At 32.1% G+C, this 12,845-nt stretch overlaps 1 protein-coding gene across 59 annotated transcripts in view; it reads left to right on the forward strand.

Moving 5' to 3' along the window:
- Positions 1 to 12,845, forward strand: part of ADGRL3 (adhesion G protein-coupled receptor L3) — an 878,010-nt gene that overhangs the window by 830,249 nt on the left and 34,916 nt on the right. For all 59 annotated transcript variants that reach the window (NM_001387552.1, NM_001322402.3, NM_001387522.1 and 56 more), the window contains 2 exons: positions 868 to 1,036; positions 7,157 to 7,282. In NM_001387552.1, coding sequence (NP_001374481.1) covers positions 868 to 1,036; positions 7,157 to 7,282 — 295 coding nt within the window. The remainder of the gene's footprint in view (positions 1 to 867; positions 1,037 to 7,156; positions 7,283 to 12,845) is intronic.

Below are 12,845 nucleotides of genomic sequence, written 5' to 3' on the forward strand. Positions count from 1 at the left end.
ATGACATCTTGGAGGAAACTAAGAGAATGGAGTGGGAGTGAGAACTTGTCTTTTATTCTATACTACTCCATTCATACCACCCCATCTTCATTCTCAGCTTCATCTTCTCCCTTGAGTTTACAGACACTTCAAAAAAGTTTCCCTGAGCCTTCAAAATTTTTTTCAACAAAGCTTCCAAATGACTGATTTCTAAAATCTACTACAGCATACCATAGAAGTGAGTGATCCAAAGCCTGAAGGAGGGTAGAAACAATGTTTCCGATAGAGTGGAACTACTTTTTCCATCTACTATCCCTCACGCTTAGTCTTTATAAATATAGAATTAGACAAGTGGGGCTCATTAAATTCATACATGTACTTCAAATCCATGTATTTCCTCCTAATACGAGTTATATTTTTGTCAGTAAACAATAAAATTTTTGTGGAAAAAGAGGACATTTTGAAAAAGCGAGGTAAAAATGTATCAGAAGAAGCACTAATAGAGGGAAATCAATCAAACAAATGTTACCACTGTGAGACCAGTGAAGACTAACAGCTTTATAGCCTGCTTTCCTGTTGCCATTCACCATAATTACACCTCATGCCATTTGCATATGTGCTGCAAATACATGAATAATTTATGGTACAAATCTGCTTTTGCTTAAATGAATTTCTGTGTTCATAACATTTTCATTCATGTATATATCTCCTCAAGCTTGAAAACTTGTAGTCTCATTAAAACCTTAAAGTACTTACACCACCTGTCTTACATTTTCTGTCAATAAAAGTTACTGTAACATTTTTTTCAGTGTCGTATTGTTGATCTGATATGGTTGTTAATTAAAGATCAATTATTTAATAACCCTTAATTTTCTCTTCTCTCTACAGGTCATGGGTTATAGGTGCAATAGCTCTTCTCTGCCTATTAGGATTGACCTGGGCCTTTGGACTCATGTATATTAATGAAAGCACAGTCATCATGGCCTATCTCTTCACCATTTTCAATTCTCTACAGGGAATGTTTATATTTATTTTCCATTGTGTCCTACAGAAGAAGGTAAGCTAGAATTCTTTTTTTAAAATAAAAATGGCATACATTTCATGATAGCAAAGCAGCCACAACATATTCTAATATATTATTCTTGATATGTTTGTCTACAAGAAATAAAGATACTCATCATTTATAACAGTAAAGCAAAACAAACACAAAATACAAGCATAATAGTTGGTGGGAGTGTCCAATAGTAAAAAACAATAAAAACATTTTCTGATTTAAACAGTGAACAAAAATTATTTTCTTATAGATTTGACTTTATAGTCTTTAATATTCCCATTGGTGGCCAAATGGATTTGTGTATTAGGAAGTAATTATTTTCTGAAAATGTTGTGGAGGCATGAGTTATACACACACACACACACACACACACACACACACACACATGGATATATATCACAGTATAGGAAATATACATGTGTATATGTGTATATATTTCTGTTTCTTCAAACACTAGTTTACATTAGAACATATAAATGTTTACACAGCTTATGGTAAAATAATATACATTTATATTTTTTGAATGAATGATGGAATAGTTAATAATGGTATCTATATTTCTTTCCCTTAAAAGCATTTATTATGAAATCTAAGAGTTGTATTATTAGAATGCAATCTTTTACATGTATCTGTTTTTGCAAATGTTTACATTTGTAAGGACATAATATATATATATAAATTTTCAAAGTTAATTTTAAACACTAAATATTTTTATTACTTTTTTTAAAATCCCCAGATTGATTTTCCAATCTTATACACTTTAACTTTATTTAAAATGTGATCTCGATAGGTCCAGTCACAACGACCCCTCAGCCAGATTGCCTGGGTTTGAATCTCTGTTTTTCTATTTAAAAACTTATGTGACTTTCGGCAAGTTAATTAACCTCCCCATGTCTCAGTTTACTCATGTGTGACATGGAGGGGGTAAAAATAATTTAAAAATATTCAAAGAAATGGCTCTGAAAATGAAATAGAAAATTATGTTTTAAAATTTGTGGGAAAGAAACAATAAGACTTATAATTTTTCTTTGGAAAACAAAGGAAATAAAAAGTAAAGATATCCCTTTCTAGGATTCTTAGTTTTAGAGACTGCTGGGACCAAAACAAGAAGTTGAAAAGAGTGTCCACTTGTGAAGATGGACAAACATAAAAGAAAACACTACTCTTTTTTCAATTTTAGATGGTGGTAGATAACTAAAATGTGTTGACATGATCGCAAATACAGAATAGAGTAGTAAAGATGAGTCAGGTTTCTAAATGTAGGTTACAGAAAAGAAAAGAGGTTACATTAGAATGGATGCATTCTAATCTAATTCATTAGAATTCTTAAAAAGAGGTTGTTTTAAAATAGATGAATCCTGCTATAACAGGATATTTAAAAAAATAAAAACAAAATAAAATAGATGAACCCTCCAAATAATTAATATGTACACCCCCCAAATTACAGAAGCCTGCCTAAACATATGTTTATGTTTTACTCATTGCCCAATGGATGGGGTTGCCCCATGAAGGGACATAGGCTGATGAAGATTCAAACAACCTCAATCTATGATATTATAGTCCTCTTGGGTTTTGACATCCAACAGGAAGTCTGGGAGAGAGAGAGATGATTTTGTGGTTTGAAAGTGGTTCACATGGCTTCTACTCATTTTGTTTTTTTTTATCAGATAGGGTTCTATCGATGGTACCACCTAAACTGCAAGGGAGACAGAAAAACATAGTATAGCTTTTTTAGTCAGAAAGAGAAGAAATTGGATATGGTGAAGAGATGGCAGTCTGCCACACTTAATGTATTTAAAGAATAGGAGACATGTAAATGGTGAGTGAGAATAGAGCTGTAAGGAAGAACGAGAATCAAGATGATACACTGAATTAAAGATAGGAGAAAATGTCAAGAAGAAGTCAGTGGTTGGTATTCTAAAAGACTTCAGAGAAGTCAGAGAGACTAAAACTTGAGGAAGATGTCTAGATTTGGATAGAAGAAAGCCATAACTGATGCTCAAGAGAAATAGATGCAAAAAATGTGAGCAAAATCAGGAGATTAAGGAAAATGGTAGCATTTGCCCATGATAAAAAGGGAATATATTAGGTCATTATGATCAGTCATAACATACTGAAGTATAGTAGATTTATTTGCCTGTCGTCTTTATTTTGTACATTAGCTGGAAATTTGGACCAACATAATTTTTAAATTTTATTTAAATTTTTTTACTAACTCATTAAGAAGTAATTTTTAAATGTTAAAGTTAATTTGGAAATTTTCTACAAAGCAGAAAAGAAATTTTTGTACTTTACACACATTCTTTTGCTTTGAGTATTTTTTTATTAGCCAATGCCTCTTTCAGTTTTCCCAATATTAATAAAAATGTTATTTTAATTTTTCGTGTCTTAACATAAGCATATCACTGGAATAAGTAAGAATTGCATTTGGTACCCAGGTAGAGATTTTACATCTCAAGACCCTCAAACAAATTTAGAGTTTTTAGTATATTTAACATAAGTTAAATTTTAAAATATATATGTCATCAAGTTCAATTTTGTGATTCATTAAAACAGAGTTCCGGAAACTGTGGCTCATGAGCCAAATTCATCCAGCTGCCTTTTATTTTTACAGCCAGGAAGTCAGGAATGGTTACTACATTTTCAATACATAAAGTTTAAAATAAGTATATACACCCTATCCTTAATTTTGGCTCCTGAGTCAAAAAACTTAAAATTTTAACTATCTGGACCTTATAGAAAAACTTGCCAGGCCCTAATTTTGAACGCTTATTTTCATGATTTACAATAACAAGTAATACATATTGTTCTTTCATCCATTCTGTGTTTTGAATTTTAAAACTTTGGTCACATTTGTATTTGGTGTCAAGAATATGGGCCAACATCAGAAAATACAGAAAACGTATAATTATTTTTGGTTTTTATTTTGTATAAAAACTGTCGTGTACTTGTCTTTGAAACTGAAGAAATGGTTAGGAGGTACTTTTTCTTTTAAGCCATCTGATTAAATTTCACTAATATGCCATCACTGGTATAGTTGCTTATATATTTTGATTAGAGAAATATGAAATATTTCATATTTGAAAATTGCTGTCTTATTGAATTATTTGTCGAATGTTTCAACTTACTCATAAAATTAAAATTTTTGTATCTCAGTCTTTTTCTGAGTATGGATTGTGTAAACAGTTTTCCACTGGTCACATTAAAGTGGTCACTTTTACTTTTGTCATACATTCAAATATTTGATATATTCCCAGAGCTTCCACAATCATTTTATTTCTGATATGAGAAATATCAGAAATATTTTACTGGTAAGGTATATTCTCTTTCCTGTCTTCTATATTCTAGAACAGCATCACACTAAAATAGGATATCATCTGACTAGGGTAACTAAGATGCAGTGCCATGTGAAATAGTAGATTAGAATATGCAAATGATTGAACAATCAAATAACTGCTTTTTTGTAATCTAAAAAATGTTTCCTGGACATGGTCCATGTTATTTTTTTTCTTCTTTTTAAGACATATGCTTACCATTTCAAATCAAATCACAGCAAAATAAAGTCAGTATAATGATTCAGTAAGTAATGTAGCTAATGCGAGACTTGGCATCACCAAATATCTTGATTTTCTGGTTGTTTATATTATCGGTTCAGAACATTTAATCTTTGTTGGAAAATGCAAATAGCCCACGATGAATTATTGTGGCTTAAACAATATTGCTGATTTTGTAACAGGAGGGAGAGTGGTTCTCTTTCTCTCTTCTTTGCCTTTATTCCTCATTTTACTGAAATATTTGTTTAGGTTTACATCACTTCATTCAAATACCCTTTCTCATCTAGAAGGAAATATACCATTTTGCTGTGTACCTCAGGAAAATAATGCGGGATGTTGCAGGGGGAAGTTATGATCAAAGTTTAGGTTCTTAGAGATGCTTCATAAATCAGTAGAAATTACTAAACTATCATTGATAATGCTTACTTTTGGTTAGAGATTATTTTAAGCCTTCTCAAGTTCTAATTAAAGCATTTGTCCTCATTCTTTCCAGACACAAAGAAGGAGATAATTAATAGATTACTTTAATGATAATATTAGTAATATACAATGCCTGTGCTGGTCAGTGATTTCATGTTCCAAATGTGGCATCTTAGAGCTTTTTGATCATAGAGCACCCATGAAATTTAGATTTTTCTCCTAAGGCACATCGCTTGACTTTTCAGTCTTGTAGTTTACTCTCATTGCTTAACCCATTTCAATCTCCTTATCTATAAAATGAAGGTAATAGTTATTTTCAGAGTCATTTTGAGGGACATACCTAGCACAATTCCTGACACATAATAGTTAAAAAGTAGAAGTTTCTTCTTTTCACCCTCCCTACAGATGCATCTTAGAAACACACATAACTGGCTACAGCTCGATTTCTTTTTTTAAAATACACAAAATATGGACTGACTTGTAAACACTAAACAAAAATAATTATCTCTAATTCTAATCATTGATAAATGTAGCACAGAAGAGACTGGTTGCAAAACAAATCAATAGCATTTTAAATACATTAAAAATAAGTAATTTTGCCATACCAGAGCAGAGAAAGGCCTTAAAGACCAGCACATCATAACCCTGTTTTTTCATTCTATTCTTTATGGTGAGAATGCCTTTTTCTCCTCTTTTCCCCTGTCCTTTATTTCAACTTCACTCTGTAAATTAATTCCAGCCACTCTTTTGAAGACTTTCTGGGAAGCCCTCTTCCCCAAGAAGCCGTTCTTGGCCTCCCACACCTACTTCCCGCAGGCACTCCTCTTCTATGCTTGAGTCACCTGACCCTATCTCTATCATTTTTCTTATCACATAATAAGCACTCAATAAATGTGAGTTCTTTAAGCAAATCTGTATATGTTCTGTCTTTAATTCTCCTATATCTTTGACACAATGAATTTTACAATAATAAGATGAAATGTTCCCATTTGGAATACTAAATTTAATGTATCATTTACATACCTTTTTTGCTTTTGATTCTAAATAACATCCCTTTTTAAAGCACATGTTCAAAACTTTGATTTAAATAAAATCTTATTTGAATATTACATTATCATAAGTTGTGGGAAAAAATGCACTAATGCGAAATCAAATACATAAAGGCTTAAGAATAGTTTATATACATGATGTTGTTTCATAATATAAATTCCTGAACATATAATTGATATAATAAGATGTCCCTTTGTTGTTATTGGTAATAGATATGTGATTTAAGGCAGTTACTGTTTATTTTTATATGCCTTGTTCAATTAAATAGGCGGTAATAAAAATTTTAGACATGATAAAATTTTTACCAAAAGTTGATATATTTCTCTGCTTGAAAACATCAGCTAAAACTCTTCTTTTTCCCTGTAATTTTATACTACAACCAAGATTAAGTATTTAATCAAGAATGCTATAAAGTAATTATATTTCTCTGTGATTATTGAGTAGAACTATTTTGAAGGACAAAATTTACAATCTTTTGAATTTTTGTTCTCAATTTGAACGTTTGATCTCTTTTAAGAGAAATAAACTTCAGAGAAATATAGACTTAGAAGAAATGATTAGCCCAACATATTCATATTTTCTGTCTTTAAATATCTTTTCTCTGCTTCCTCACTTTCTCTGATATTTCTCTCTCTCTCTCTTTCTCTCTCCCCCACTTCTTACCCTACTTCCTCCACCCCAGTCTCTGTAACTTCCTAAGTAGGCTTCTACCTAAAGAACAACAGCTACAATGCCCTTGCACCAACAGGCTACTTTATATCAAATTTATGAAGCTAAAAATAGTATCTTCAATGGGCTTAAGTATATGTTCTTGGAACTAAGAGAAAGTACCACTATGATGTGATGGGAGGTGTGTGAATGTGTGTGTATAAGTGTGTGTGTGTGTGTTTTAAAAGGCTCCAGTTAGGCAAAATTTCAAGCTTGACAGTATGAATATAATTATGTTGTATTGTAAAATATATGCTGAACAGACTTTCTTACATCTGTAGGGCAAGGAAATAATTACATTATCTAAAAATAAAACTCACATACATTGTCTACTTTTGTTCCTACCTGCAATGAATTACTTGCTAACAGAAGTTAATATTTAATTGGCTAGGTACGAAAAGAGTATGGGAAATGCCTGCGAACACATTGCTGTAGTGGCAAAAGTACAGAGAGTTCCATTGGTTCAGGGAAAACATCTGGTTCTCGAACTCCTGGACGCTACTCCACAGGCTCACAGGTAAACAATATTTGTTCACTGAAATGAAGTAATTCTTAACTATACCAGTTACTGTCCCTTATGATTGGAGCTAATTTCTAGCCTGTGTTTAACACATCGTTTGTTTTTGTTGTTTCACTGTGTCTCACATGGGAATGATTCTGACAGAAATGGAAGAAACTAAAACTGTAATAATATGATGAAATTTGAGTCTGCAAATTTGAAGTTTGCATAATAATGACTTCAGATTGTTTTCAGTTCAATAAATGCAGCAGGTAAAGAAAGGAATTTGCCGTTTCACCCAAAATTCTAAGAAAGTAACATTTCATATATATAGAAATGTGATATATTGATATGATTCTAATTCTTATAATTCTTCTAACTAGTATAATAATTATCACAAACTGACACAATTTACATATAATATGGTATGTTTAGTAAAAATAACTATGACTCAACTATATTATGTGCTGAGAAGTTGAAGAAAAGTCAGGGCAGTGAAGAATACTACAACAGCATTATTAACATACCTGGTCTAAGCTCCACTCCCATTCGCCCAGCACTAGACGTAGCAGTATAGTACCTTACCAGAAAAATTTTAAGCTTTTAGGTAAACTGTGTGCCATTTTTCCCAGGGCACAGTATCAGCTCAAAGATTATTACATAGAAATTTTAGCAACTCTTGGATGTTAAGATGAGCCAGTCAAATAAAAGACATAGAGTGGTGTAGGTCATGAGTGCGTTTGGTTCAAGCTAGCAAACTAGTATTATTTGTTTGTTTTTTGAGACAGAGTCTCACTCTGTTGCCCAGGCTGGAGTGCAGTGGTACAATCTCAGCTCACTGAAACCCCTTCCCCCTGGGTTCGAGCAATCTTCCCACGTCAGCCTCCAGCCTCCCGAGTAGCTGGGACCACAGGCGTGTGCCACCACGCCCAGATAATTTTTGTGTTTTTTGTAGAGATGGTGTTTTGCCATGTTGGCTAGCCTGGTCTCAAATTCCTGGCCTCAAGTGATCCACCTGCCTTGACCTCCCAAAGTGCTGGAATTATAGTTGTGAGTCACCCAGACTAGTGTTTTTAAGATTGCATGATTCAGTAGAAAAAAAAAGCATGTTTTCAGTGTTGCCAATTAATTTTTTCTGAGGAAGCCTTGAGTTTAAATTGATAAATAAACTTATAAATCAAGAATTAATTTTTCTTAACTCTTTTAGCTCAACCTATATATCTAATTATTGTTTCATAAATTTGGTTATTTTATATAAAATAAGAGTGATTGCTTCATTTTTTATTTGATGGATGTTCAATTGGCTTGTAAGCTTAATAGTTTAAATTTCCCTAAATAATTTCATTTATATGCTTAGAAAATTTAATTTCTTTATACCTTTCAAATATCATTTATAAATTTAATATATCTGATTGTCTCAAACACATCAACTGTCAGACTAGTCATACACACCTAGCTAGCACTTGAACACAGTTATAAATTAATGGATGACCAGTGTTTTCATAAACAATTTCCTCACCAATTGAGTTTTAATCTTACAAATAAAACCATGTCTTTAATATCAATCTAATATTTCCAATTAAAATTTTAAAAACTAACATATAACTGTCAAAAATATCAGGCTATGTTAAATAATTTTACTAACCACAATCATGAAACTTAAATATAATTGCATGATTATTAATAATCTGAATTTGATTTATTTTTTACACACCACACTGAGGTTGTAAAGTTGCAAATCAGAAGAACAATTGTCCCAACTCAGATGGATGGAAATTTCTGAGTTTAGGACTACTAAATTTGCCAAACAGAGATCTGAATTTTCACATAAGAGTGGGGGCAGACCAGGATGATGCTTATAGCATGAGCCCCTTTTATAATTAATGCCTTTATTTTCAGACTCATAATCCCTTGCTCTTCCTCTTTTTGTAATAACTTTTTCCACGACTTTTCAATTGATATTGCTAAGATTCCCTATATCATCCAGCATGATTAGATCCCGCATGCTTTTCACATTACTGAGTTCATCAGCTACCATCCGATAGTCATTTTATTGACATATGTCATTAATATTATAATAATATTTAGGAGTCTCATTTACTACTTTACGACAGAGTTGTGCAATGTTTAGCAATACTTCTAAACTACAAGTTAAGGCAGTGCAGCTCAATGGAATAATAATAAACTCTGTGGGTGGGTATACCTTGTTTTGAATCCTGGCCTTGCCACGTACCAGCTATGACACAGAACAAGTTACTAATTTCATTGACACTCAGTTTTTCCATCTGTAAAATGGTGATAATAAATACTGACATCTTAAGTTGCTAAGAAGATTGAAGTAATATACACAAAACAGAATAAATAGTGGGTGCTCAATAAACGGTGGTTGCTACCATTTATTACTGTTGTTATTACAGAATATTATTATATATATTTTTAAGTTGTATCATATTTTTCTCCTTACTCTTGTAATTTGTAATATCACAATTCTACTCTTGGAAAATAATTTACATTTTTTCTTATACTTAATATAATACTAATTCTGATTAACTATGACCAGCCAAGCCTATGTAAGGTTATAGTTACTTAAATCTATATTATTTGTTTAGGTAAGACTAATAAATACATTTCCCACTAATTATGGCCACCCATAAGCAAATGCTAAAATATTGATATTAAGACAAAATTTGGGGAGTATGGATGCATCTTTCACATAAGAGCACTTCTAAAATAACTATCTCTATATATTATGATTTTTTATTTAGAAATATTGAGTGCCTCCTATATAATGCCATCAATCTTCTAATCTCTGGGGATAAAATGGTTAAAAGACATATAACTTCCCCTGTGATCTGGAACTTTTATTCTAGCGTTGGGAGACAGAAAACGTATTAATAACAAACAACCCAACAAAAATATCAAATGGGAGAGCTGACGGAGAACAAAAATATGATGATGTCAATTAGCCAGGTGGCTACTTGGATTAAATGCTGGAGAAAGACTACCTTTGGAAGTGATACTTATGCCAAAGTCTGAGTTACAAGATTCTAAATGAAAGGAGAAAAGGAAATTCAGGGAAACAGAATTCTAAGTGAGAAAATGGCTAATGCAAAGCCTTTACAGTTTGGAGAACTTACAAAAAATATTGGCCAAAGTAGGTTAGAGGGAGAATGAGATAGAAAGTCAAGGAAAAAGGGAAGAGACAGATCCCTAGGTATTTGTAACAGTATGAAAATTACATTTTATTTTGATTACTTTGGATAGCCAGTGAGATACTTTAGAAATGAAAGTGACAGGATATAATCTGCATGTAGTAAACATTATGTTGCTACATTGTAGATAATGCAGGGGATGATGGCCAAGACTAAAACGTAAAAATCCTCTTCACCTCTTGCTCCTCCAAACTTACTTCCTGGTCCTAATCACTTATAAAAGTTTTATAATATGCATCAGTCACACAAACATATATTCACAGAAATGGGTGTAACTTTTTTTAAACTATGGACTGAAATAATATCTTTTGACTTTCTCGTAATTGTTTTGTCATTTATCTTTCATATATTTTATTGATTTTTAGATATATTTGCTTTTTATTATATAATATTTGAAAAATAAAAAAGTGAAATATGTATATGAAATATTGAAACATTTTAATAAGATGAACACCTGTGAACTCAACATCCAACCTAGGAAATAGAACATTTTCAATATGTTTTCCTCTTTATTTAACCTCCGTAACCAATCCCTATGCCTTCCTCCAGAAAGGCTCCTAAATTTTGTTTTTCCATTCCCGCAACTTATTCTAATCATTTCTCTCCTTCCAAAAAATCTTGTTCAGCATTCCTTTATTAAACCTTTGTTTAAAAATGGTATTTTTTGTGTGTAGTCTTCTCTGACTTGGGTTTTTCACTCCCATATTCTAAAACCCTTCCTGGTTATAAGTGTGGCCTCTGTGCAATATACTATATACTTTTTCCTCTGCCTGCAATACTTCTCCTTTTTCTCCTTTTCCTCTTAAACTATATTTGGTATAGTGCAGTGAGTTGTTAACCTCCTGCACTCAGGAGCCAGATGACTGCATTCCAATGCTGGTTATAAGGTCTGTGCCATCAGACATGTTCATTAACCACTGTGCTTCGGTTTTTCTAGTGTATAGTATTACCTACCTCATGGAGTTCTTGTGAGGTTTTGATGGGTGAATATAGGAAAGGTATATAGTATGGAAAAGAGAGCATAGAAAAAATTAATTTATATAGATGTATATGCACACACATGCACATATATAATATACATACACTATGTATGTATATGCCAAGTATATGTACCTCAATGAACAAAAAAGACAAAAATTCTGTTTTCATAGAGCCTCAAGCCTAATGCAGACATAAGACATTAAATATTAGACATTAAATGGATAGCTATTAAATATAAATGTAAGAAATAATTATATAATACATGGTATTATAGGAGATGTTAGTGACTGTTGGGGGAATGTAGTAGGGGAAAAGGGACTGAGATGTGATTGGATTGTGTGGGTAGCCTACAGTTCTAAGTAGGGTGTTATACCTTCAGAAAAAAAAATATTTTATATTTAAAAGAATAAAGGAATTATGCATACCTGTATCTGGAGAAGAGCACCCCAGACAGAGAAAACAACCAGCATTGCCAACCTCTGAAGCACAAACATGCCTGGCATGTTAGAGAACAGCAAGGGGACAGGTGCAATTAGAGCAGACAGGGGAGATTAATAGGAGATGAGATAATGGGGACAGCTCATATAAATATCACCTAACAATAATAACTTCATCAACTCCTAGATAAAATGTTACTTCCTCAGTCTGCATTGTTCTCAGACTCCCTAGACAAGGACATATCCCTTAATATATGGTAAAAATAAATGGTATAATTGGTAAAAATCTTTAAAAATTCTGTAGTATAATGAATAGTCACAAAAGTATACAAAACATAAGTGTATGGCACAATTAATTATTACCACTTCCCAGGCCAAGTATTAGTATACTGAGAATACCTTGGAAACCCTTTGAACCCCTCTCAATCATTAAGCTCCAAACATAACCACTATCTTAGCTTTCAATAGCACATTTTAGTTTGCATATTTTGATACTTACTCACCTGAAATCATTTAGTACATACTCTTTTATGTTTTCCTTTGTTCCCAAGACATCTACATTACTGCAGGAGGCTATGAGCTTTTAATTTTCTTTGTTTTATATTATTGTATAGTTTATTCATCCATCCTACCATTGACAGTCATTTTGGTTGATCATATTTCAGCTATAATATTTAATGACTGTATGGAGATTTGTGGGCATATTGTACTTTTGCATTTATTTTTGTGATAATTTGACTAATCTGTTCCTAGTTTAACATCTCCATAAGGGTCAAGACATTTTGTGCTTACATTTCACATTTGTATCTTATAAGTTAGTATTTGGCAGGCAATAGAGGGTAATTAATATTTTTAATTAATTAATTAACCAACTAATAAAACAAATGTGAGAGACTGGCTCCCAACATTGTCCTTTCGTTTATTAGTTTTCTGTCTATGTCTGTGTCTGTG

The sequence above is a fragment of the Homo sapiens genome, chromosome 4 (genome assembly GCF_000001405.40).
Source record: "Homo sapiens chromosome 4, GRCh38.p14 Primary Assembly".
NCBI classification, from domain to species: Eukaryota; Metazoa; Chordata; class Mammalia; order Primates; family Hominidae; genus Homo; species Homo sapiens.